General features: G+C 53.7%; 1 protein-coding gene and 1 long non-coding RNA gene across 2 annotated transcripts in view, besides 3 other annotated features; one reads left to right on the top strand and one right to left on the bottom strand.

Annotated features, from left to right (window-relative positions):
* Positions 103-222: a silencer, noted in NCBI's record as "silent region_13859". NCBI's record gives its function as "represses an Ori minimal core promoter by ATAC-STARR-seq in GM12878 lymphoblastoid cells {active_cell/tissue: GM12878}" and the evidence as "EXISTENCE:reporter gene assay evidence [ECO:0000049][PMID:35858748]".
* Positions 9,814-10,746: an enhancer, noted in NCBI's record as "H3K27ac-H3K4me1 hESC enhancer chr22:43593145-43594077 (GRCh37/hg19 assembly coordinates)". NCBI's record gives its function as "activates a minimal SCP1, AML or CMV promoter by ChIP-STARR-seq in primed H9 embryonic stem cells {active_cell/tissue: H9 hESC(primed)}" and the evidence as "EXISTENCE:reporter gene assay evidence [ECO:0000049][PMID:30033119]".
* Positions 9,955-26,516, bottom strand: part of SCUBE1 (signal peptide, CUB domain and EGF like domain containing 1) — a 146,093-nt gene continuing 129,531 nt past the window's right edge. The window contains exons 17-22 of the mRNA NM_173050.5: positions 25,100-25,267; positions 23,597-23,758; positions 22,718-22,915; positions 20,747-20,899; positions 20,209-20,288; positions 9,955-16,824 (exon numbers count right to left, since the gene is read on the bottom strand). Of these exons, the coding sequence (NP_766638.2) occupies positions 16,672-16,824; positions 20,209-20,288; positions 20,747-20,899; positions 22,718-22,915; positions 23,597-23,758; positions 25,100-25,267 (914 nt within the window). The 3' untranslated portion in view covers positions 9,955-16,671. The remainder of the gene's footprint in view (positions 16,825-20,208; positions 20,289-20,746; positions 20,900-22,717; positions 22,916-23,596; positions 23,759-25,099; positions 25,268-26,516) is intronic.
* Positions 10,747-11,678: an enhancer, noted in NCBI's record as "H3K27ac-H3K4me1 hESC enhancer chr22:43594078-43595009 (GRCh37/hg19 assembly coordinates)". NCBI's record gives its function as "activates a minimal SCP1, AML or CMV promoter by ChIP-STARR-seq in primed H9 embryonic stem cells {active_cell/tissue: H9 hESC(primed)}" and the evidence as "EXISTENCE:reporter gene assay evidence [ECO:0000049][PMID:30033119]".
* SCUBE1-AS2 (SCUBE1 antisense RNA 2) lies at positions 25,349-26,336 on the top strand. The gene is made up of 2 exons (NR_134632.1): positions 25,349-25,372; positions 25,830-26,336. It is a non-coding gene; the product is annotated as an SCUBE1 antisense RNA 2 (long non-coding RNA).

Raw genomic sequence — 26,516 nt, forward strand, 5'->3', positions numbered from 1 at the left:
AGCCCCCCGCCCACCGCCCCGTCCTCCCCCCAGCCCCCCGCCCCTGCCGCGCCCCCTGCCCCCGCCCCCTGCCCCCCTCCCCACCGCCCCGTCCTCCTCCCGGCCCCCCCGACCCCTCCCCTGCCCCGCCCTCTTCTCGCCCCCTCACCCCGTCCCGCCCCGCCCCCAGTCCGCCTCCAGCCCGGTTTGCCGCGGCCCCCGGGCAGGCCCTGCGCATCGGCGGGGTGCGTGCGAGAGCGCGCGAGCTTGCCAGGAGGGGGCGCGCGTCTGCGACCGCGCCTGTGGTTTGGCTGCCGCCGTGTGCGCACGCGCACCTGATGGTGGCTGAGCTTTTCTCGCTCAGCGCGCGGCGACCCCGGGGAATGCCGGGAGGGCGGGGTGCCTACGTATAGGGCGCTGTCAGGACCGGAAAAGGCCCCACCGACGGCCCGGAAGGTGTCCTGGGGCCCGAACCCGGTGAGGCGGCGCTTCTGTGCCTGCACCGGGCACACAGAGCTCGCAGGCCCCCTGCCTTGGGAGCTCTCGATTCTTGTGAGCGTTTCACCAGATTTGGATGCTGCAAAATCGTGGCCCTTCTCAATTACTTATATTTGGATTCGGAATGTCAGTTGATCCAATTAAGACCAAGTGTACCCGTCAGAGGAATTTACTCCTACATGTCGGGATGTTTCGAAGTGCAGTTGAGCTGGGCGTGGTGGCCGCGTCTGTAGTCCCAGTTACTCGGGAGGCTGAGGCGGGAGGATAGCTTGAGCCCAAGAATTCAAGTCCAGCCTCGGCAACATAGCCAGACTCCCTCTTTAAAAGAAAACAGTTCAGTTATAGAATTTCAAAAGACATTCTCTTTTGAACTCTCATTGAGTTTTATTGCTCCATAGGGATACATTTCAATGTCTTCCTTTTTGCAATTTTGTAAGAATTGTAATTTGCTAAAAAACAAAGGCTGAAAATTTTTTGGAGCTTCAGATGCTATTTTGATAACATTTTTGAACTGAGTTTGAATAAAATGCACCAATTCACGGACTTGTTCAATTCCATTGTAGGAAGCAGGTGGGTCTGCAAAGGCAAAAATTTCCAAACTCAAGTTGGTGAGGGCTGCAGAGAAAAACATTTTATTTATTTATTTATTTTGGGATGGAGTTTTGCTCTTGTTGCCCAGGCTGGAGTGCAATGGTGCAGTCTCGGTTCACTGCAACCTCTGCCTCCCGGGTTCAAGTGATTCTCCTGCCTCAGCCTCCCAAGTAGCTGGGGCTACAGGTGTGTGCCACCACGCCTGGCTAATTTTTTGTATTCAGTAGAGACAGGGTTTCACCATGGCCAGAGGAAAACCCTGATTCCTCGGTTTTTGTTGTGGAAGCCAAGGCTGAGATTGTACCATTGCACTCCAACCTGGTCAACATAGCGAGACTCCATCTCAAAATAAATAATATAGTAAAACAGCATCACAATGCTAGGATGGGGCATGCTGGCTCACACCTGTAATTCCAGCACTTTGGGAGGCCAAGACAGGAGGATCACTTGAAATAAGGAGTTTGAGACCAGGCTGGGCAACAAAGCAAGACCTCGACCCTACAAAAAGAAATTTTTAATTAGCCAGGTATAGTGGTACACACCTAGTGCACCTCCCGCTTCCACAACCCTTCCATCGGTCCCGCTGGGGAAGACAGACTGAGTCTCAGTTGTGTCAGGTACTGGTCAGATTATGTGAACATTCCTGACCCAGCCCCTTTGACCAGGAGAATGTGAGGCTCTGACAGGGCAGTCCTCTTTCACATGCTCCTCCCCAAATGTAAACCCAGTTGTATCAGATCCCTACTTGGAACCCTTTGTGGTTCAACTCTTCACCTGAGCTCCAAGGCTCTGTGTGAGCTGGCACTGCCAACTTTTCCAGCCTCTTTTCATTACACTCTTCCCCTCACACTGTGAGTCCCTGTATCTCTGGTTGTCTTCAGCTCCTGGAAAGCATTGTGCTCTGTTTTCTGCCAGAAAGCCTTTCTCCCCATGCTCACTTTGTAAATCCTGACTCATTCTTCTCAGCTGAAATGTTGTCTTCTAAAGAGGCACTGAAGAATGTGTATTTAATCAACATAAAATTACTGCTCTGCTCCCATTACTGCCACCAACCCCCTCCCCCTCCAGACAATTGAAAAAAAGGAGAGAGAGAAACAGGGAAAAAAAAAAGAGTTTAAAAGTCCCTTCCATAGCCGGGCACAGTGGCTCATGCCTGTAATCCTAGCACTTTGGGAGGCCAAGGCGGGTGGATCACCTGAGATCAGGAGTTCGAAACCAGGTTGACCAACATGGTGAAACCCCATCTCTACTAAAAATACAAAATTTAGCCGAGCATGGTGGTGGGCACCTACAATCCCAGCTACTCAGGAGGCTGAGGCAGGAGAATTGCTTGAACCCAGGGGTGGGGGTATGGAGGTTGCAGTGAGCCAAGATCGCATCAACTCACTCCAGCCTGGGGGAAACTCCGTCTAAAAATAAAAAAGGCCCTTCCATCCTGAAAATCCAAGCCCAGGTTGACCTTTGGTCCCTGATAGCTTTTTGTTCTGAGAGCTTTGCCAAGGGTACTCATACAAAATGGGTTTTTCATACAACATGGAGCCTAAACCCAATACAATGACTTTGTGAAAGTTGATCATAAGAATTGGGTCACCAGGCGTGGTTGCTCACCCCTGTAATCTCAGCACTTTGGGAGGCCGAGGTGGGTAGATCACTAGGTCAGGAGTTCAAGACCAGCCTGGCCAAGATGGTGAAACCCCCGTCTCTGCTAAAACTACAAAAATTAGCCTTGGTGCGGTGCCTGTAACCCCAGCTACTTGGAAGGCTGAGGCAGGAGAATTGCTTGATCCCTGGTGGCAGAGGTTTCAGTGAGCCGAGATCGTACCACTGCACTCCAGCCTGGGCCACAGAGTGAGACTCCAACTCACAAAAAAAAAAAAAAAAAAAAAAAATTGGGTCATTCTTGTCATAATTAAAACAGAGTTGAGAAGCCAAGAGGGAAAAAGCATTTGGGGTGCAAGGCATTGTTCCCAAAATGTAATTCTCTGTAAGCCCGACTGCTGAAACTGCTTGTGGTAACCTAAAACCATTTATTGATAACTTCTGAGATAACTGACTGCAACTCTAGGACTAATAAGGCTCACCAAGCTGAGCTTACTAACTCCCCAAACCCTTACAAGTACCAGTGAACTTTCTCAAAGAGCAATATGTAACATTTCTTCTTCTTTTTTTTCTTTTTGAGGAAGGGTCTCACTTTGTTGCCCAGGCTAGAGTGCAGTGGCCAGTGACGCAATCATAGCTCACTGCAGCCTTGAACTCCTGGGCTCAAGCAATCCTCCCACCTCAGCCTCCTGAGTAGCTAGGACTACAAGCATGTGCCACTATGCCTGGCTAATTTTTAAGTTTTCTGTGGAGACAGGGGTCTCATTGTGTTGCTTAGGCTGGTCTCAAACTCCTGGCCTCAAGTGATCCTTCTGCCTTAGCCCAGAGCACTGGGATTGTAGGCATGAGCAACTGTGCCTGGCCCATTTCTCTGTTTTAAATAAAACTTCTAACCTTCTCTTTGTTCTTCGGACAAAGCAAAGACCACCTGGTCTGTAGGTGCACCCTGAATGGCAGTTCCTTCTTCACAAATAAAACATTACATTTAGGCCAGGCATGGTAGTTCATGCCTGTAATCCCAACACTTTGGGAGGTCAAGGTGGGCAGATTGGTTGAGCCCAGGAGTTTGAGATCAGCCTGAGCAACACAGTGAAACCCCATCTGTACAAAAAATACAAAAATTAGCCAGGTATGGTCGTGGGTGCCTGTAGTCCCAGATATTCGGGAGGCTGAGGCGGGAGGATTGCTGGAGCCCTGGAGGTTGAGGCTGCAGTGAGCCATGACTGTGTCACTGCATTCCAGCCTGAGCAACACAGTGAAGCCCTGTCTCAAAAAAACAAACAAAAAAACAAAAAACTACACACATTAAGTTTACAGAGCTGTCTCTACATTTTTGATTTTGACATACATGGTGTCAGCAGTGGGACCAAGCACTGAACCACTTTGGGGAGAATCTCACACTGGGGCCCTCTGACACCCTTCTACCTTTGTGAGTCACCTCTTCTCCCACCTGGTAAGTCTCTCTTGGACAGAACTCCTGAATTTGGTTTGAGTTCTCTCTTATTTGGGAAATGGCTGGGGAGGTGACTTTCCCTGTCCTGTGTGGGATATCTGCTGTTGGGGAGGGTTATTTTCCTCCTGTTGATCTCAGCTGTGAGGTCTGGATCTTGAGGTTTGGATGAGGGGATTTTTTTCCCCTCATTTGAAGATGACTATTATTCTTCCTGGTGAGTACATACTTATATTTTCTGTCTGTTTGTGTTTCTTTGGCCTTTGTGTACTCAACATTAAACTAAATCACCTTACTTGCTGGATAAGCCACTAAAAAAAAAAAAAAAAGGGAAAAAACCAATCTCAGTCACCTAGATATATTTAGTTAAAATGAGGTCTCAAAGTTCAAAGGCATGCCAAATTTTCTAGGACTCCAGCTAGTAATATATTCAAACATTATAGGGATCATTCAGTTTATTCTTTAAATTAAAAGACCATGGTTATAAAATCATACACTCTAAGTATGTATTTCTCATTGATACCTTGAGGCTAAAAAACAAGTCCATTCAGGACTCAAAGATTGCCTTCCTACAAAACACTGAGTCAAAGCTAGCTGAAACTGTTCCTTTCTGGAGCCTCCCCAATCCTTACAATTCCTCCTTTTTATCCTCTAAATGGCTATTCTGGAATACTGACTATTTAAGTAAAAACACTTGACAACCAGGAGATACAAAAAGAAAATCATTATGAACTTCATGCTGTTTCTTAAAAGCAAAAGATGAAATTCTCATGGAAAGACTTCCTCCTTATACTAAAAGAAAGGGCAACACTCTTTTCTTCAAGGACAAAAAATAGAGTCCAAACGAATACTGTAAAGACTGGTTAGAGTCACTCCTATCTTTTGGGCCTCATCACATAATGCAGTCATGTTTTCACAGTTAACTATTCTTTGTCCAACACAGTATATTGGTAACTGACTTAGGCTGTGTTACCCAAAATTTGGCTCACAACCTTTATAAGGTGGCGTATTTTAAAAATTCTTAAAGTTTAATCTTACCCCATTTTGTCAGAAAAATAATTTGGATTCAACTGTTTTTTATAAACTGGTAAGTATATATATATATGAGTATATATATATACGTGTATATATATGTGTATATATATATACGTATATATATATATATACGTGTATATATATATATATATATATTTTTTTTTTTTTTTTTTTTTTTTTTTTTTTTTGAGATGGTGTCTCGCTCTGTTGCCCAGGCTGGAGTGCAGTGGTGCGATCTTGGTTCACTGCAACCTCTGCCACCTGGATTCAAGCAATTCTCCTGCCTCAGCCTCCCAAGTATCTGGGATTACAGGCATATGCCACCACGTCTGGCTAATTTTTGTATTTTTTGTAGAGACTGGGTTTCGTCATGTTGTGAAGGCTGGTCTTGAACTCCTGGCCTCAAGTGATCCACAGGTGTCGACCTCCCAAAGTGCTGGGATTACAGGTGTGAGCCACTGTGCCTGGGCCATGGCTAATTTTTTAAGTTTTATTTTTAATAGAGATGAGGTTTCGCTAGTTGCCCAGGCTGGTCTCAAATTATTGACCTCACCTGATCCTCCTGCCTTCGCCTCCCAAAATATTAGGATAAGCATGAGCCGTTGTGCCTGGCCGAGGGTTCTAGTTTTCCTGCCAGCACTTGTTATTCCCTGACTCTTGATTATAGTTCTAGTGGTTGTGAAGTGGTATCTTACAGTTTTCATTTGTATTTTCCCTAATGACTAATGATGTCAATCATCTTTTCATGTGCTTATTGGCCAATTGCATATCTTTTTAGGAGAAATGTTTATTCACATTCTTTGTCCTTTTTTTTTTGAGACAGAGTCTTTCTCTGTCGCCCAGGCTGGAGTGCAGTGGCGTGATCTCGGCTCACTGCAAACTCTGCCTCCTGAGTTCAAGTGATTCTCTTGCCTCAGCCTCCCTAGTAGCTGGGATTACAGGTGCCCACGGCTAAATTTTGTATTTTTAGTAGAGATGGGGTTTCACCATTTTGGCCAGGCCGGTCTTGAATTCCTGACCTCAAGCGATATGCTGGCCTTGGCTTGCCAGAGTGCTGGATTACAGGTGTGAGCCACTGTGCCCAGCCTCTTTGTCCATTTTTTTGTTGTTGATATAGAGACAGGGTCTTGCTTTGTTGCCCAGGCTGGTCTTGAACTCCTGGCCTCAAGTGATCCTCTTATCTTGGCCTCCCAAAATGCTGGGATTACAGGCATGAGCCTCTGTGCCTGGCCTTCTTTGTTCTTTTGTTTTTTGTTGTTGTTTTTTTGAGACGTAGTTTCCCTCTTGTCACCCAGGTTGGAGTGCAATGGTGTGATATTGGCTCACTGCAACCTCCTCCTCCTGGGTTCAAGTGATTCTCCTGCCTCAGCTTCCTATGTAGCTGGGATTACAGGTGCATGCCACCACGCCTGGTTAATTTTTTGTATTTTTAGTAGACATGCGGTTTCATCATGTTGGTCAGGCTGGTCTCAAACTCCTGACCTCAGGTGATTCGCCTTCCTTGGCCTCCCAAAATGCTGGGATTACAGCCACTGCTCCCAGCCTGTTCTTTTTTTTTTTTCTTTTCTTTTTTTTTTTTTTTGAGACGGAGTCTTGCTCTGTTACCCAGGCTGGAGTGCAGTGGCCCGATCTCGGCTCACTGCAACCTCCACCTCCTGGATTCACACCATTCTCCTGCCTCAGCCTCCCGAGTAGCTGGGACTACAGGCGCCTGCCTCCACACCCGGCTAGTTTTTTGTATTTTTAGTAGAGACAGGGTTTCACTGTGTTAGCCAAGATGGTCTTGATCTCCTGACCTCGTGATCCGCCCGCCTCGGCCTCCCAAAGTGCTGGGATTACAGGTGTGAGCCACCATGCCTGGCCGCCTGTTCATTTTTAAATTAGGTTATTTGTCTTATTGTTGAGTTGTAAGAGTTCTTTACATATCCTGGATACTGGAGTCTTATCAGATATGTGATTTGTAAAGGTTTTTTTCCTATTCTGTTATCTTTTCACTTTCTTCACAGAGCCCTTTGAAGTACAAGTTTTCAATTTTGGTGAAGTCCAATTTATATATTTTTTCTTTGGTGCCTTATTATTTGTGTGTTACATTTAAGAAGGCATTGCCTGGGTAGAGGGTGTACTGCTCAGGTGATGGGTGCACCAAGGTTTCAGAAATCACCACTAAAGAACTTATTCATGTAACCAAACACCACCTGTTCCCCCAAAACTTAACGGAAATACAAAAATTGAAGTTAAAAAAAAAAGAAGCCATTGCCTAATTCAAGATTCCAAAGACTTATTTATCTGTCTTAGTTTCTAAGAGTTTTATAGTTTTAGCTGTTACATTTCAGTCGTTGATCACTTTGAGTTGATTTTTTGTATAGGAGGTAGGGGTCCAACTTCCTTTCTTTTGCATGTAGATATCCAGTTGTCCTAGTACCATTTGTTGAAGAGACTATTTTTTCCCCATTAAATGGTTTTGGCACTCTCGTTGAAAACCAACTGATGGATGATAAATTTAAGGGTTCATTTCTGGACTCTGAATTCTATTCCATTGATCTGTAGGTCTGTCCTTCTGCTAGTACCACAAAATCTTGATTAATGTAAGCTTGTAGTAAGTTTTAAAAATGAGAAGCGTGAATCCTCCAATTTTGTTCTTTTTCAAGACTGTTTGGCTACTATGGGTCTCTTGCATTTCTATATGAATTTTAGGATTCGCATGTCAGTTTGTGCACGAAGCCAGCCTGGATGTTGATGGGGATTGCACTGAATCTCTAGACCAATTTGGGGAGTACTGTCATCTTGACAATACTGTCTTCCAATCCAAGAGTACAGATCTTCTTTAATTTCTTTTCTCTTTTTTTGAGATGGGGTCTTACTTTGTCACCCAGGGTGGAGTGCAGTGGCTGGATCTCGGCTCACTGCAACCTCTGCCTCCTAGGCTCAAGCGATCCTCTCACCTCGGCCTACCGAGTAGCTACGACCACAGGTGCGTGCCACCATGCCTGGCTAATTTTTTGTATTTTTGGTAGAGACAAGGCTTCTCCATGTTGCACTGGTTGGTCTTGAACTCCTGAGCTCAGGCTCTCCACCCACCTTGGCCTCCCAAAGTGCTGGGATTACAGGGGTGAGCCACTGTGCCCACCGTACAACTGATTTTTATATATTGATCTTATGTTCTGTAACCTTGTGAATTTCATCAGCTCTAGTAATTATTTGTGGATTCCTTAAGTATCTTCCATATAGAAGATCAGGACATGTGAAATGGATAATTTTGTTTCCGTTCCAATCTGGATGCTGTTTATATTTTTTTCCTGCCTAATTGTCCTGGCTAGACCTCCAGCAGAGCGGTGCAGGCACGCATCCTGGTCTTGTTCCTGCACATGTTGCTTTTAAGATATATCCCTTTTGTTGCAGGATGTTAATTAATTGTCATAGCTACATAATATTTAATTACGTGACTATGATGCAGTTTTCCACGAAGAGACTTAGGTTATCTTAAGCTTTTTGCTCTAATAAACATGAGGCTATGAATAGTTTTGTATATTTCCTGGAACATATATGTAAAAAAGAGATTCCCTATTTGTATACAGTAAGTTGATCCATATCCTCTCTGATTCTGATTTTATCACACTTATTATTGTTTTTTTGCCAACCTAGTGCTAACATGGCATATTTTTGTTGTCTCAATTTATATTTCCATTTGTGTGTGTGTGAAAGCAAGTTTATTAGAGAAGTAAAGAAACAAAAGCATGGCTACTCCTAGGCAGAGCAGCCTGTATTTCCATTATTATTAATGAGATTGAGCACCTTTTCAAATGGTAATTGGCTGTCCTGTTTCTTCTTCTGCGAAATGCATGTATATATCTTTTGTCAGTTTTTATTTTTTATTTTTCATTTTTTGTAGAGATGGGGGAGTCTTGCCATGTTGCCCAGGCTGGTCTCGAACTCCTGGACACATGCAATCCTCCTGCTTTGGCTTCCCAAAGTGCTGGGATTATAGGTGTGAGCCACTGCACCTGACCCTAGATTTCTTTTAGAACCTGAGGAAAGCTGTGGGCCATATTCCCAGAGAAATAGAAATGTGTATCTGTACATGCATGTGTACACACACACACACACACACACACACACACACACACAGCATTGCGTGCCGAATTTCAATGAGTCATAGATTCCCTGAGGCTCACTGTGACCATGACTTCCAGATTAAAGCCCCAGTGTCAAAGAACAACTCTTGGCCGGACACGGTGGCTCACGCCTGTAATCCCAGAACTTTGGGAGGCTGAGGCGGGCGGATCACGAGGTCAGAGATCGAGACCATCCTGGCTAACACGGAGAAACTCCGTCTCTACTAAAAATACAAAAAATTAGCCAGGCGTGGTGGCGGGCGCCTGTAGTCCCAGCTACCCGGGAGGCTGAGGAAGGAGAATGGCGTGAGCTCAGGAGGCGGAGCTTGCAGTGAGCCGAGATCACGCCACTACTCTAGCCTGGGCAACAGTGAGACTCTTGTCTGAAAAAAAAAAAAACAAAAACAAAACTCTCATTTCATCATGAGTTATGCGGGGAAATGGGATTTGAAATATGGACATTTTGCCTTCTGCCAGTTAGAAGCATGTCTGTTCCCTAAATGTGGGCGCCCCCTGCGTCTGTACGTAGATCTCCACCTCGCTGCTTTATTTTCCAGAGGTTACTGTAGCTCCTTACTTTCAGTCCTCAATAGCGTCATGAAATTTCTTCCATTATTTTTTCTTTTCTGGATTCCAGTTAGCATTTCCCCCCAACTCATGACTTCTGCTGAATAAGAGAAAAGAGCAATATTTAGGTTCATTTCCTGTTTATTATTAAAGTGATTTTCACAAATGTTTCATTACATGCATATGGGGGACATGATGGATAAAACAAAACTGAATATTTGTGGCAACTAAAAGGAAGATGTGGTTATGTTGGTATTTGCCACTTGCAGGCAGAGTCGTTGCCAAGCGTCTGGACAATACAGTGCCCTCACAGGAGCCAGAAGTGAAGTCTGCGGGCCGCTAGCACAGCGCCCTGGTGTCCTGTTCCCCGAGCAATGTGGCCTGCGTCTGCTCGGCATGTTGGAGGTTCTGATCTCAGCGGAGTAAGACACCCGGCATCGGTCAGCTCCCTCTTCCTCCTCCTGCTTTCTGCCACCCATCTGCCGAGGGCACTGGGCACTCTCTTACTTGCATCTCTGCAGGGCTGTGCCGGGGCCTCCCCAAGAGCAGTGGGGACACTCGGCAAGGGCACTTGAGCCTCTGGCTGTGTCTGCTCACGTCGGCACAGTGAGTACCCTGTCCGCCTGGTAGGGAAGGCAGAAGCTGTCTTTTCTCCGAACGAGTTTTTCGTGCTTGTGAAGGAGGGAAGGAATGTCACTGAAGTCACCCTGGCCCGGGATCCTCCTGTTCTCTCCCCTCCCTGCAGCCTTCTCTCTGTCTCTGGACTCCACCGCCAGGGCTGACCTGGCCCAGTTTCCAATCTGTAAGCTTCAGATTGATCAACGTTTTAGAGACATTTCCTACCCTTGGATTAGATGGGCTTGAGTTTGATTCCCAAATCCAGGGACTACCAACTCTTTGCCTTGGGCATGTCCTGTGGTCTCCCAGAGCCTTCATTTCCACATCTGAAGAATGGTCTTAACCCCACCATCTACATGGGGCTGGGGGGATGGAATGTGTGGATATTAGAGGGTTGAGCCCAGAGCCTGGCACCCAGTGGGCACTGAGTGAGCGTCAGCTTCCCCACCTTTCCCTTCTTCCTGTTGGGGCTTGGGGGGTGCAGACAATTCCAGGGGGCTCACTCAGGGGCTCTGAGTGGCATGGTGCAGCAGGGGACTGGAGAGGCCTTGAGGCCATCGCAGCAGATGCTGGGAGGGCACGCAGGCCATGCCTGTGTTGTCTGGGCTTCAAGGATGCTTTGCCCACACCTGATGTCCTTTCCAAGAGCAAGGCAGGTGGGATCAGGCCAACCCCAGCTCTGCCTGCCCAGGACTTACTCCTGGAAGGGCCAGGGATCTGTGGGTGCTGTGGGGGCAGAGGCAGCCGCGGTAGAATAGGAGGCGCTCTCTGCTCTCTCTCCACATCCTCACTCCACCCCTCATTACATCCTCTGCCCTTGGCCTGAATGATGTCGGCTCGGCATGGACACCTTGTGCATCTTTGGTGAAAAGGGACCTCAATGTCAGGTGCAGTTTGCCAGGGTGACCAGACTTCCTGAGCATGGACCAGGGGAGGTGAAAATGGCTGGACTCCCTGGGTGAGAAGGAAGGCTTCTCCCTGTGGGGCATGCACTGTGGCAGGCAAGGTGAGCAGGCTGTCCAGGGCAGCTTGTCTGCTGTCTGGGGCAGGGTGTCTGTCTATCTGCTGTCTGGGGAAGTGTGTCTGTCTGTCTGCTGTCTGGGGCAGTTTGCTGTCTGCTTTCCGGGGCAGTTTGTCTGTCTGCTGTCTGGGGCAGTTTGTCTGTCTGTCTGCTGTCCGGGGCAGTTTTTCTGTCTGCTGTCCGGGGCAACGTGTCTGTCTGTCTGCTGTCCGGGGCAGTGTGTCTGTTTGTCTCTCTGCTGTCCAGGGCAATGTGTCTGTTTGTCTGTCTGCTGTCCGGGGCAGTTTGTTTGTCTGTCTGCTGTCTGGGGCAGTTTGTCATCTGTGCAGGGCACCAACTCCCTGTCTTTCTAGGAGCCTGGCACACAGGAGGTGCTCAGTAAATGTTTGCGAAATGACTCAACTTATTTCAGTATCTTATTTTTTCTGCTGGGGGTGGTGGAGGCACCGGAATAATATTCAACTCCAAAAATGTAAATTAAGCATCGGTATGGCTTAAACAGGCCAGGGGCCTCCTGCCGTGGACAAGCCCAGGGGACAGGCTTCACTGAGACGCTGCCTGCGGATGGTGCGTCTCTTAAGAACGAGCGTGCATGAAAAGGGGGGCCATTCAGACAGAAAACTACGCTCGTTAGAGGTAGGGGAAATGGCTTCTCTCCCAAGGCCTTCAAATTTGGCCTCTTGTGCCATCCTTGTCTGGGGATGTTTTGGCCCGTGTTTCAGCTCTACTTTATCTGTGTGTCCTAAGCCAATGGGTAGCTGGAGAGAAAGCTGCCTGAGGCCTCCACCGTGGGCCCACCGTGAGCCCTGCAGCCTGGGCCACCATGGAGGTGGGGGAGGACTGGGCCACACTGTACCCTTGGGGATCCAGCGTTTCGGAAACTGGTCATCGCCTTGCCAGCGTGACCTGTGTGGGGCAGGGGCACTGAGGCTGGGGAGCGTAGGCTGATTCTGCTGCTTGAGAGGAGGGAGGTTGGTGTGGCTGTGGCTGTGAGGCTCTGGCGCGGGGAAAGATGGGGAGAGGCTCTGGCATGGGGAAGGACTGGGAAAAGGCACAGCCTAATTCTGGGCAGCAGGTGAGGCCACCTGGCTGCAGGCTGCCCTCAGCGGCTATATGAGCCCTCAATCACGGAGGGCCTGGCTGTCTTCGAAACCCTGCTGCAGGTTCCTTCCCTTCCCGTGGCTTGTTTCTGGAAAGTAGAAATAAACTTGGGGGGAATGCCAGGAATGTGGGGCAGAAAGGTCCCCCCACGCCTGGGTCCCACCTGACTCCTGGGAAGCTGTGCGGGAGACACCCCGGTTTTCCATGCCTTTCTTCACAGAGTTCCTCTGGTTCCCTGGGGTGCCATGCTCCATTAGGAGCTGACCCAAGCTCAGAGGAGCCTGGAGACCGGGCAGGCGCCTCCGTCCCGGCCAGATGGCAGTGCAGGGACTCCCAGCAGCCCGCTTGCTTCTTGGCTCCTCTCCCTGGAGCACAGCGTGCGGCGCTGGGGACCTCATCAGCTGCTCAGGCGACAGTCGAGGAGGGGCTATGCCGGCCTCCCCTCAGACAGCATGGGGGCCTCCTGGACTCTCTGCCCCCAGCTTCCATTTTTTCTTGGGCCTCGTTACGTGGATCCGTCCTACCTGGCCCAGTCCTTGTTCCCCACTTCCCTTTTCTCTACACCTCCATCTTGAACCAGGTGGAATAGCCACCTCACATCAGTCAAGCTGCCATTGGCTTCGACAACATGCCAACTGGAAGAAATGCGCTTTGCTGTCCACGGAGCTCACCTTGGGACCATCCCGCCCTGAGGCCCAGGGTCAGCTGTAGTTTAACGGGGGACCCCCAAGTTCCCTGGTGTGAGACTGATGTGGAGACTCAAGACAGAGCCCAACCCTGGAATTCAAGTCACTCAGATGGTGTGGGAGGCCCAGTGGGGCTGCTGGCGACCTCGCGCTCCTCATGGCCTCTCCCGTGGGCTGGGAGCTATAGAAGGGCTTGCGAGGGAAAGCAGGATGAAGGCTGGGCCTCGTCTGCACCTGCCCATCCAACTTTGCCCTGGGCACACTGGGCATGGTCTGACCACGGTGGTGAGTCCTGGAACATGAGGGGAGGAGAGGCGGGCAGTGGATCTGTGAGTACGTGGGTGGCAACTTTCAGAAATCGCCCAAAGGAATTGCAGAAAGAGCTCAGAGAGGTTAAGAGCTCTTTCTGTTTCTGGAAAGGATTAAAAAAGAAAACCCTGGCTGGGCGTGGTGGCTCACGCCTGTAATCCCAGCACTTTGGGAGGCCGAGGTGGGCGGATCACGAGGTCAGGAGATCGAGACCATCCTGGCTAATATGGTGAAACCCTGTCTCTACTAAAAATACAAAAAAATTAGCCGGGCAAGGTGGTGGGTGCCTGTAGTCCCAGCTACTCGGGAGGCTGAGGCAGGAGAATGGCGTGAACCCGGGAGGCGGAGCTTGCAGTGAACCAAGATCGCGCCACTGCACTCCAGCCTGGGTGACAGAGCGAGACTCCATCTCAAAAAAAAAAAAAAAAAAAAAAAAGAAAACAAAAAAAGAAAACAAAAAACAAAACAAAAAAAACAAAACAAAAACATTTAAGTGTGATGGTTGATTGCATGGTCGTCTTGGTTGGGTGAACGGATACCCAGCTAGCTGGGAAAACATGCTAGGGTGTTTCCAGAAGAGGTTAGGATGGGAATTGGCAGACTGAGTGAAGACATCCACTCCATCCAATCTGTTGAGGGCCCCAATAGAAAAGAAGGAGGAGGAAGGGAGAATCCTCCCTTTGGGAGCTGGGACATCCATCTTCCTCGTTCTCGGGGCTTTGGATGCTGGGACTCACAGGGTGGCCCCTGGCTTCTCGGGCTTTGGACTCAGACTGAGTTACGGTGTGGCTTCTCCTGGTCTCCCAATCGCAGACAGCCGATCGTGGGACTTGTTGGCCTCCAGAATCTGTGAGCCAGTTCCCATAATGCAGCCCCTCACACATCTACGTCTGTATCCTCTGGGTTCTGATTCTCTGGAGAACACTCGTGAAGAGGCGACACCCCTCCCGGCACCTTCCTCAGGAGCTGTTGCTGCAGGCTCACTCGGCAGGATGCTCGCCTCTCATCTTGGGGATGACTGACGGCTCCACAAAGGGAGGGAGGGAGGCCTCTTTCCAGAAACCAGGGCTGGCCTGCGTGGACTGTGACCAGAGGAGCGGCAGTGGCCCCTGGCAGGGCTTGTTAGTTGACACTGACCTACTCCCCAAGTGCAGAGGCTCCACTCTCTCTCCGACTTGAGTTGGACTTCAGCAGAGAAGGCAGCTGATGGCAGCAGGAGCCACGCCGCGGAGCCCGCTACTGTGGGCACATGTGACGGCGTGAGTAATTGCTGAGCTCCGGGCCCTCTTTTGGACTGTAGAATATGTGATCACGGCCTACCTCGTCACCAAGCCCTGAACCTCCAGGGACCTCACTTGGCTGCCTCCATCTGTGTGGTCCTCAGTGTGCCACAGCCTCTCAAACCGTGTTTGTTTCTCGCCAGCCAGGCTGGGCCCGGGGGTGACCAGGAGGAACCCTAGAGGCAACTTCGAGCTGAAGACTGGAGTTCATTTTCAGATTCTCCCAGGTTCCTTGGGATTTTCAGTATTTGTTAACCTGAAACACACAGACCATTTCCCATGCAGGTCCTACAGCTCGCAGGCAGATGAAGAGCAGGCAAGGCCTCCTGGACCTCGGCATGGGGTTCTGCTGGCTCCATCCCAGGCGCTGGCCTTCCGGCTGGGTGGGACACATGCACTCGGTCACAGCCCAGACTCTCTTTCTCCCGACATTTCCCTGCTTGCTTCTCTCTCCTGCTGCCTTGTGAAGAAGGCGCTTGCTTCCCCTTCACCCTCCGCCATGATTGTAAGTTTCCTGAGGCCTCCCAAGCCATGTGGAAATGTGAGTCAATTCAACCTCTTTCCTTTATAGGAAGGAAAGAGGTTTCCCTGTGAATGGGGGTGGCATGGCGTAGCAAGAGGAGGCTGCACTGGGAGCCTGGCCTCTGACAGCAAGCTCTGCTCTCTCCCCTTTCCTCACTGGCCGCTCTGAGGCTCCTTGTGGTGGTACAGCCTGTGCTCCTGTGAGCAAGGCCTTGTTTCCTGCTGACACCTGGGCATAGTACGGACCCCAAGGTCACTGCCACAGGGCAAGAGCCAAGGCCCCTTTCGCCGTTTATTGCTGGGCCCCTGCACCTCCTGGGAACGGGTCCGAGGGGAAGTGTCTTCCACTGAGTCTCGTCCAAGGGCAGTGATGTTGCTGGCAAGGGGACTGGGGTGAGGCCAACACTCCAGCAGAGCATCTGAGCCTAGTTCTCGAAGAATTCGTGTTCAGAAGCAAGTCCAAGGCAAGCTGTGCTCTCCCCAGCCCCAAGGGCTGCCGGCCTCACAGAAACAGAAGGGCAAATGCAAATGCTGGGAGGAGCTGTTTAATCGTTCAGGGAGGCTGATAGCTGCTGGGACTCACTGGGCTCATGCGGGAAGGGATGGGGTCACAATTCATATTTACAGTGACCAAAGGGCATTTTCCTAAAGTACCCACAAATAGAAGTATATATATATATTTATATATATATTTATATATATATATAGAGTACTTCATTAAATGTTCTGTTGAAGGAATGCAGAAACTTCCAGTCTCCTCCCCAGCAGCTCTGTTCCATCCAATCACAGAACCCTTAGAGCGCAACAGCCCGGAGCCGTGGCCTTGCCTGTGGCTGGAGGAGTTGGCAAAGCGTGGGGCCCGCGGATGCCAGCACAGGCTCATCGACCTCCCCCAGACGGCGCCTTTGTCCCCTCCTCTCTCCCCTGGACTCCTGTCTCGGATGACCACGCCTCCCAGAGCACAGGCCCCACTTCCCCTCTCTCCTGAAACGCCAGGCCAGGCAGAGGGTCCTGCAATCCTGCTACCTGCAGTCGGTCTGCCAGGGCTCAGGAGAGGGCGCTCTTGGTGTCCTGGGGAAGGGAGGCAGAGGGAGGGAGGGAGGCTTCCTGAAGCAGGGTGCTCCCACAGGGGCAGCGGGTCCGAAGGGTGCCTGGGCTCGGTCTCCATGGGCTGGTCGGCTTCCCTGAAGGGCAGTGCCATGGGGTTCCCAAGGTGGTGTGGAGGCCCATGCAGCTCCCACTGTGGAGGGCAGGTGCACCCTCCGCGGACCAGGCCACCCCCAGGCAGGGCCGCTCCCCCCGGTTATTTGTAGGGCCGCAGGAACCGAGACACTTTGGAGCGCAGCAGTTTGATGAAGGACCGTGGGAACATCTCCTTGGATTCCTGGGCTGTGTACTTGAAGTAGTTCTGGGGATGCGCCAGCACGTCGAAGAGGGCCTTGATCAGCTTCTTGTCCTGTAAGATAGAGTGGGTGGGAGGCAGGGGAGGCTTGGGGCCTGTAGGGTCTGTGGGGTGTTGCCAGGCTGGGGGAGGGGAGAGAGATGCGCTGGCTGGTGGGTTTCAGGACCCCACAGACCTTCTTTTGGTTTTAATAGTATAACTGGTTTTTATTTGTTTATTTTTTTTGAGACAGTCTTGCCCTGTCACCCAGGCTGGAGTGCAGTGGCGGGATCTTGGGTCACTGCACCTCGCCTCCTGAGTTCAGGTGATTCTGCTGCCTCAGCCTCTCGAGTAGCTGGGATTATAGGCATGCACCACCACACCTGGCTAAGTTTTGTCTTTTCAGTAGAGACGCATTTTCACCATGTTGGCCAGCTTGGTCTCAGGCTCCTGACCTCAGGTGATCCACCCACCTCGGCCTCCCAAAGTGCTGGGATTACAGGCGTGAGCCACGGCGCCTGGCCCGTAACTGGTTTTTAAATAGATCATTGGCATTAACTCTTGGGATTCCAATAAGATTTTATTAAAGGCCAAGTGTGGTGGCTCACACCTGTAATCCCAGCACTTTGGGAGGCTGAGGCGGGCAGATCACCTGAGGTCAAGAGTTTGAGACCAGGCTGATCAACATGGGGAAACCCCATCTCTACTAAAAATACAAAATTAGCTGGGCGTGGTGGCGCATGCCTGTAATCCCAGCAACTCGGGAGGCTGAGGCATGAGAACTGCTTGAAACCGGGAGGCGGAGGTTGCAGTGAGCCGAGAGTGTGCCACTGCACTCCATGCTGGATGACAGAGCGAGACTGTCTCAAAAAAAAAAAAAAAAAGATTTTATTAACAAAGGGTCCCGCTGCAAAATGACACAACACAACCAACATCTGCAAACAGAGAACACCCAGCCAAGAGCACAGGCTTTGCAGCTGGCAGATCCCAAATCATCACTTCAGGCCTGCTCGCTGGTCCCTGGACCTCGGGAACATCGCTTTGCTGCTCTGACTTTCATTCTTCCCTGCACAGAGAGGTCACGATGCCTCTTCCCGGGGCTGCGAGGAAAATGATCTGCACTGGCGTGAGCAGAGAACCTCTCCTCAGCGGTGCTCAGTACAGGTTTGCTGCAGGGATCTAGGCAGCAAACGGGGCTGTCCTCCGGAGCAGTCTCTGGAGGGCAGATGCAGTCCCCGCCCTCTCTGAGCCCCAGTGTCTCGTCTCTCTAGTGGGGCACTGGCTGCCACCCTGGGCAGAAACTATGGAGCAGAGGTGAGGCCTGGCGGAGGTCTGGTTCCTGACAGAGTCCCCAGAGCCTGGCCCAGGGAAGGTGTTCAGCAAATGGCGACCACCACCTGCTGGCGCGTGAGAGCTCCTCGCCCTGTTGACTGTGACTGCATCTGCTGTGTCTGGGGTGGACCTGTCCTGGCACACACTCATCTCTGTGTACACACCCACCACACCCCACACCACACACCCACTCACCACACACCCACCACACCCCATACCATACACCCACTCACCACACACTCACCCCCACACACACCACACACCCACTCACCACTCACTCACCCCCACACACACCACCCACTCACCACACACTCACCCCCACACACACCACACGCCCACTCACCACTCACCCACACACACACCACCCACTCACCACACACTCACCCCCACACACACCACACACCCACTCACCACTCACCCCCACACACACCACACACCCACTCACCACTCACCCCCACACACACCACACCCACCACACACCCCTCACCACAAACACCCCCACCCCCACTCACCACACACACCCCTATATACACACCACACACCCACTCACCACACTCACCCCACCTCTATTCACACCTCCACCCCCACTCATCACACACCCTATATACATACCACACACCCACTCACCACACACTCACCCCCACACACACCACACACCCTCACCTCCATCGACCATACACACCCCCATACACACCACACATCCACCACACCCCCACCCACTACACACACCGCCTCCATTCACCACACACCCCCCCAAACACACCACACACCCACCACACCCCCACTCACTACACCCCACACACACCCACTCAACACACACCCCTACACACCCAGCACACACACCCCTACATACCCCTACATACACACTATACACACCCACTCAACACACACCCCTACACACACACCACAGTCACCACACACACTGAACACCTCCAAACTCACCACACATGCCTCCACAAACACACCACACAGCACACTCCCCCACCCCCCGCACACACACACGCGTGCCCTGAACCCACACCCTGGAGACAGATGCTCCTGCCCTCCTCTGTGCTGTGGGGGCAGGGACTAAATATTCACAGAACAAACCTAAAGTGAGTGCTGGTGGGCGCCAGGAAGGAGGGGCACGCGGGACCTAAGGGGCTGCAAAGGGTGTGCCCAGGTCAGGGGGTCCGGGCAGGCCGCCCAGAGTACGACAGGATGTCCCAGCTGAGGGCGGAAGGATGGGGGGAAAGAGGTGGGGGAAAGAAGGGGCCGAGAGGCTCTGGTGCGTGTGAGGAGCTGGGAGCTGCTGTGGAGGAGGATGGCCCTCCGGCTGAGGTTTGTGTCCCCAGAGCAGTGTCAGGATGCTTCCAGTTTGGGAGCGATGCTCCCAGGGCGGAGCTGGGGGGACAGAGATTGCGGGGAGAGAGCCCAGGACGCATCCCTGGTTTCTGCCTAAGCAGCTTGAGGAGGAAATCAGGAGCCGAGGGCGGCAGCACGTGACTGGCAGACTATGGGGAGACTCAAGTGAATCTTCCCGAACTCTGCAAACCATCCTTTTCTCAGAAGAAGTGACAGCGGGAGCGTTCCAGCCCTGCCCTTGTCCTCCACACCCCGGGGCTCCTGGGCTGACAGTGCTGCTGCCCAGGGCTGAGCTGGGTGAGTCCTGGGTCCCCAGGCCTCTGGCCAGTACCCACCATGTGACACACCAGGCGGCCCTGCCTCTCCAGGCTGGAAGCAGGAAGAGGAGGGAGCCTAGTCCCAGCGGCAGGGGGGCTCCAAGTGACAATGGCACTGGGTAGATCCCACTGATTCTGAGACATCCCCCAGAATACCCTCATTCTACAGATGAGGAGAGTGAGGCTGTGAGCTGGTGAGGAATGTGCCTGAGGCCACATCACCAGGTCCTGGTCCCCAAGTCCTCACCAAACAGCTTCCCTCAGGCCTCCTGGTCTGGAGGAACAGATGTGCAGGACCCAGTCCCCACCATTAGGGCTCTGGGACCCCCAAGCCTCCTGCTCCTCTCCCATCACCACCCACCCTCCCTTGCTCCTCCAGGGGCCAGGGCTGGGGCAGGGGCGGTCCTGGCTCATCACAGGCCCCATCCCAGGGTTACGTGGATTCCCTTCCAATAAACTCACTCACTTTCAAAATTTCCTGGTGGTTCTCCGAGGCGTACAGGCGCCCATCGCGCACGATGTCCTCTATGAGTTGCTGGTAGTCCTCTGGGCAGCGGGTCAGCAGGGGGAGAGGAAGGCGAGGGGCTTGAGGCCCACGTGCTCCCCTTTCACCTCCAGCCTCTGCCCTCCCTCCTGTGCTCCAGCCACGGGCTCTGGGCTATGGCTGGCCGCAGCTCTGCCTCTGTGCCTTTGAACCTGGGGCTCCCTGCACCTGTATTGTCCTCCTCGGGGTTTCACTAAGAACCCCCTATTTAGCCCTCAAAACCCTGCTTGGGCAGCACCTCAGCTGAAGCCTGCAGAGGCCACTAACCGCTGTCTTGCCTGTACCACCCGGTACCACCCTCAGCCTGTCTGGCTCTGGCCCCTGACAGTGTTCGTTCTGCTTCCAGGTCTGTACCTGCCAGGTCGCAGCTCCCTGAGGGCGGGGACGTGCGACTCATCTCTGTGTCTCCAGGGCCCCGCCTGAGCCGTGCACAGTGGGCCGTGAAGACAGTGGATCTTACCATCGTAGGTGACATAGGGCACTTGGAAGCCTTTGCCGCTGTTGCCTTCATTGGATTTGAACTGGATCCAGAGCTTGCGGGAGCGGGAGGTGAAGGCGATGGGCCTCTCGTAGGTCTGGCAGGTCTCATAGGTGGTGATGGACGTGGGAGAGGCTGCGGGTGAAGCATCATTGCTGAGCTGCCACAGGTAGGCAGCTCCTCCTGCCCTAGGCCACTCGCCTCCCATCCAGTCCACCACCCAGCACCTGCACCGAACGCCTGGTCCCCCAAACACAACGGCTTAGTCTTTGTGCTTGCTCCCTCTGCCTCTGAGGCCCTTCCCTACCCTCAACCCGGGTTCTTACTTGTCCTTCTGAGACCCATCTCTGTCCCCTCTTCCAGGAAGCCTCCCTGACTCTCCCCCCATCCCCTCCCAAGATCTTGCTCTGCTCTGGTGAACCCCTTATCACAGGCCCCTCTGTCAGTGGGTCTCCATCTCCCTCCAGCTAACTGCTCCTCGGTGACAGGGCTCAGGCCTGCACTTGGTGCAAGGCCAGGGTGGGAGTGGAAGCTGGGGGAGGACGTGGGAGATGAACTGGCACTGACTGCTGGGACCAGAGGCACAGACTTGGGAAGTCCCTTCTCCCCGAGAGCAAATACACCAGCAAGGCCCACTGAGCCCTGATCTCCCGAGGAGGAAATCAGGAGCCGAGTGCGGCAGCGTGGGTACAGCATGTGACCGGCAGGTGAATCTTCCCAAACTCTGCAAACCATCCTTTTCTCAGACACGGTGACAGTGGGAGCACCCCAGCCCTGCCCAGCCTCTCCCCGCTTAAGGGCTCCTTGGCAAGGCCTCACGGCTCCCTGGGGGCCTTCCCGAGGAGCCCTTCATGGGGGACAGGCTGGGCTTCACTTCAGCTCAGGCTTGTGGTGGGGGACAGAAGGAGGGGATGCTGGGGGCAGGGGAACGGGTGAGGGGAACGGGTGGGGAATGTGGTCCCAGGCCGGTCCCTTGCCCATCCGCACACTGCGGCTTTTGGCTGCTCAGCTGCGTCAGCCTTGCTGACATCCGTCTACTCATTAGCTATGCTGAGCAACTCCTGCCCAGGATAACGCAACTCTGGAGGAGCAGCCCTGGCGCAGACCTCAGGCCCCTCCCCACCCCCTCATCTGGCCGGTCTCTGTGGTCACTGGGTACCCAGAGATGTTCTCTGGCCAGCGTCTGTGGGTGTCTGGGTTCCTGCTCTTCCTTCCCTAACACTCAGACATGGAGCTCGCTCACATGGGCACCCACAGCCCGACAGCAGCGAGGTGCCCTGGACAGGTGCGCTGCAGGTATTTGGCTGGTGCTCGGGTGGCTCAGGGGCCTCCCAGGCATTCCTGCTGCTGTGGCCAGCTGGGCACACAGCGGTCACACCCACTGCTGAGTCCAGTCCTCTCTCATGCCATTCCATCCTTCACTCCCTAAAGTCTCAAGAGGAGCCCTGACGGGGGCGGATGAGCCAGGAGTCCAGGGCTCACAGAGGGGTGGGGAGGGCTCTCTGAGCTGTTATCTTGTGTGGTGCATGGGACGGCCGTGTGGTCCCCCAAACCTCAGCGGGCGGGAGGAGACCCATGGAGCTGGAGCCTGAGGTCTCGCCCTGAGCGGTGCGGCAGAAAGTGGTGGCAAGGGGCCCTGCGGCTGGTCCCGCCACTGGGATGAGGGCCCGGCTCGTGGCCGGAGTTGAGACCAGGCCTGACCATGTCCCAGCATCCACTCTCGGAATACCCTAAGCTCTCCAGATCTTTCCACAGAACTCTGTAAAGCCAGCTCTTAGACCCAAGTGGGTTTCAACCCTGCCTCCCAGGTGGACTCTGAGGGGCTGGTCCTCTGAGCCCCAGGGCCCTCCTCTCTGCCCTGTGAAGGCAGCGATCCCGCCTGGCAGAACCGCAGCGAGACGGGGGTGCACACGCAGCTGAGGCTGCCTCTGGTCCCCTCGGCCCCCAACATACCACTCTTCCTCATGACCAGAACATCGCCGCACTCATCCTCGATGGGCAGGAAGATCTCAGGGACCACGATGAGGATCCTGCGCTTTGGGGGAGGCGCGATGTGCCAGACGCATTCAGCGTTGGCTGGGTAGTCGCCAGGGTAGTTGGGGGACTCGATGTAGCCGGTGTAGTCACCAAGCTCGCCGCCGCAGTGCTGGTCTGTGGGCACAGTGGCCCGAGGGCCTCATCAGGCTCTGCTGGGCAGGGGCCCTGGCCGGCCAGGCCTCTAACCACCTGGGAGGCCTAGGGCAGGGCTGGAAGGTGCTCTTGTCCCCCCCCACACTAGCCCTCGGACCCTGAGCCCATCCTCCTTGGGGACCCTGCCTGGGCTGCCCCCAGAGCAGGAGGGCAGGTCCCCTGTTCAGGCCTGTGGTTCCCTGAGGCCCAGCCTGGGGGCTTCTTCTTACTGGGCTGCCATGCCTGCAGGCCCACCCTATTTCTCTGTGGCTGGGCCTTGTCAGGGGCACTGAGAGGGCCTGGAGCCCTGCTCTCTCTAGAGGCCCTGTCAGTGCCCCTGTAGGCTGTCAGCCCCCCCAGCAGACCCAGAAACTAGAGCAGGGCCTGGCCCAGGGCAGAGGCTTGGGCTGTGTTGGGTGAGCAGTGGGAACTGATGAACGATGGCCACCACTGTGGGCTCCGTAGAGTGGGCCAAGCCAGGGCTGCCCCTTTGGTGCCACAGGCCTCCAGATGGATGCAATGCACCCGAGAGCAGACGGGACGGAGCGGGAGGAGTCCAGTGTCCTCGTGGAGCTCGTGTGAGATCAGGTCTCCTCCCGCCCCCACAACCTGCCCAGCCCCTCCCGTGTTCCCAGCTTCCCACGGCAGAGCAGCAGCACCCACTTTTGCAGTGTGTGACGTTGGTGGAGCCATCGAAGTCTGTGCTGGTGTTGCCCGGACAGGTGATGCAGTGGTTCTGGCCAAACTCGGGCTGGTAGGTGCCGACGGGGCAGCGGATGCAGCGGTGGGTGGTGGTGTTGTAGTGGTGGCCGGGGGAGCAGTGCACTGCCGGGGGACACAAGGCAGTGTGGTGGGTGTGGAGGGGTGCAGGGAAAGGGCAGCACTGGGGTGCTGTCCCCAGGACCTCTCATGCCCTCGAGGTCTGTTTTGGCACAGAGTTCAAGGCTCCTCCCCACCGCCCCATGACCTCCCACCACCCTCACTCCGCCATGGCCAGGAAGAGCCCTTGGCGTGGGGGTCACATGGCAGATTGATGTGATGTTGGCTCCAGCAAAACAGGGACCACACAGGCCACCTTGATGGGAGCCATTTTCAGGGAGAGCGGGGGCGATGATGTGGCCGGAGGCGTGCGGGGGAGACAGGGAGGAGGGGAAGTGGAGCCAGCTAGGCCAAACCCTCTTTCTACAAGGTTGCTGGGGCAGGAGAGACAGGCGGCCGGAGTCTGAGGGGTGCCGGGGCGGGGGGCTAGAGATGGGCAATTCTTTTTTTTTTTTTTTGAGATGGAGCTCGCTCCGTCACCCAGGCTGGAGTGCAATGGTGCCATCTCGGCTCACTGCAACCTCCACCTCCTGGGTTCAAGCGATCCTCCCCTCCCAGTCTCCCGAGTAGCTGGGATTACAGGTGCACATCACCACACCCGGCTAATTATTTTTGTATTTTTTTTAAGTAGAGACAGGGTTTTGCCATGCTAGCCGGGCTGGCCTCAAACTTCTGACCTCAGGTGATCCACCCCCTTTGGCCTCCCAAAGTGCTGGGATTATAGGTGTGTGCCACCGCACCTGGCTTCTTTTTTTAAATGGGCAAATTCAGAACAGTTTGTATGTGCAGGGGAGTATCTGGTGATGTGGCTGGCTCCAGGGGGCTGAGAGCCAGGCCACCTGGACAGACAGACAGACACTGAGAGGGAGCACGGTGGGGAAGCAGGGTCAGCAGCTGAGAATGGGGAGGATTTGGGGGAGTTGGTGAGTGAGGGAAGACGGGATGTAGACCTGGGTGGGACCAGATGCCCTGAACAGACAGCAGTTGAGGTGATGCCCTGATCCCGCTCCTGCCCCCACACTCCTGCCCCCACACTCCTGCCCCCTCCTCACCCTCCCAACCTCCCTTCTAGATGCTGCTCAAGGCCTCCTGTCCCCAGAGCCCTCCCCAGTGCTCCGAGGAGCTGCTGTTCCCCCTGGAGCTCAGAAAGCTCTCAGCTATAAGGTGTCCCTGTCCTAATGCGGGGCACAGTGGGTCACCCACGCCCACGCCTGACAGCTCCAGGCTCCTCCTCTGAGCTGGGAGGTTCGCCACATGGAGGAGATGAGAGGGGTTCGGGGAAGCCTCTCGGAGCAGTGCAGCCCTGCCTCTCGGGGTGGGCGGGCGTGGTGGGGAGGGCATGCTCACCTTTAGCCTCGCAGTCCTGGAAGGAGGTGGTGCCTTCGTGTTTGGTGAGCAAACCCCCTCCACAGGGGAAGCAGCCGGTGCGCCCGGGCTCAGGCTGGTACGTGCCCACGGGGCAGGCCTGGCAGGGCTTGAAGCCATCGGCCGAGAAGAAGCCTGGAGAACACTGGCCTGAAAGTCAGAGGTCATGGCTCAGGCGGGCAGGAGGGCACCGCAGGGCCGAGGCTGTGGGTGGTCTCAGGCCCCGCTCTTGGCCCTTGCCCGGCCCTGGAAAAGGTACTGGGCACCCGAGGCCTGGGGTGGGGACGGGGTGGGGAAAACGCAGCAGCCGGGGTGCAGGAAGCTGGGCCCTGGTCCGGATGATGCCAGCGGTTCATGTGCGGCCTTGGTCAAGCCTGGCTCTCCTTCTCCCACCAGCAAGAAGGCCTGGGGGTTGAAGAGCAAGAGGCCTTGCTGCTGAGCTGGGAAGGGGACCCACAGGTGGAGGGGCAGGTCACGTGTCTCAGAGGGGCTGTCCCCGGGGGGTAGGCTGCACCGGGGTCTCCGCAGAAGGAGCACCTGCTCAGCTTCAGGGTGACGCTGCCTGGTCTACCAGCAGGGCCAGGCCAGAGCAGAGGGAGGCGGGTCTGGGGAGGGTTTCTGAGGTACTCAAGGGCACCCCTGGGACAAAGGGAGGGGACCACAGGAAAGCCAATTTCAGCTCCGAGTAAAGAATGTTCTTGCGTTCCAGCAGACTCAGGATGCAGAGAGTATTCTGGCATTGAGTGAGAGGCGGGTTTAGCACCCTCTCAGCCCAGACCCTGGGATTCTCAGCTTCTACCCAAACACGGAATCTCCTACCAGTGGCCACTCCCCCAGGGGTGGAGACCACACTCCTGGAGTGGGCGTGGGCCAGAGAGCAGCCGGCAGCCTGGACGGACTCAGGGCTGGGCTCTGAGCCCTTCCATCACCGGGAGAAAGCTGGAGGTCTCCAGTATCCTGGGACCCCACTCCCCCACCCTCACAGGCACTGTGCTTCTCAGGGTGCTGAGAACCTTCCCCGCGGATTCTCTTGGGTGAAACTCACAGTGGCCTGGGAAGAAAGGCTCATGGGGAGACTGAGCTAGCTTCACAGATGGAGTTAAGTGGGGAGAGGGAGGTAAATGCAAAAGCTCTTTGCAAACCTAACTGCATTTGGTAAATTGAAAAAGGGCTTTCTAAACCGTCTGTGGGGCACATAATAAAGTTCTTTGTGTGGAGCAAAGTTCTTGCTCAAGTATAAGATACTCTCTGCAAAGTGTTCCAGTTGTAATGGAATGTTCCGTAAAATGTAAGCTGTCTAGTCCACCATAAGGCACTTATGTACCTCCCTTAGAAACCGTAAGTTGCACACTGTGAAGTCCTTTCCAAAGGGCACAATGCAATTCTGAGAGCACACCGA

The sequence above is a fragment of the Homo sapiens genome, chromosome 22 (assembly GCF_000001405.40).
Source record: "Homo sapiens chromosome 22, GRCh38.p14 Primary Assembly".
NCBI lineage: Eukaryota > Metazoa > Chordata > Mammalia > Primates > Hominidae > Homo > Homo sapiens.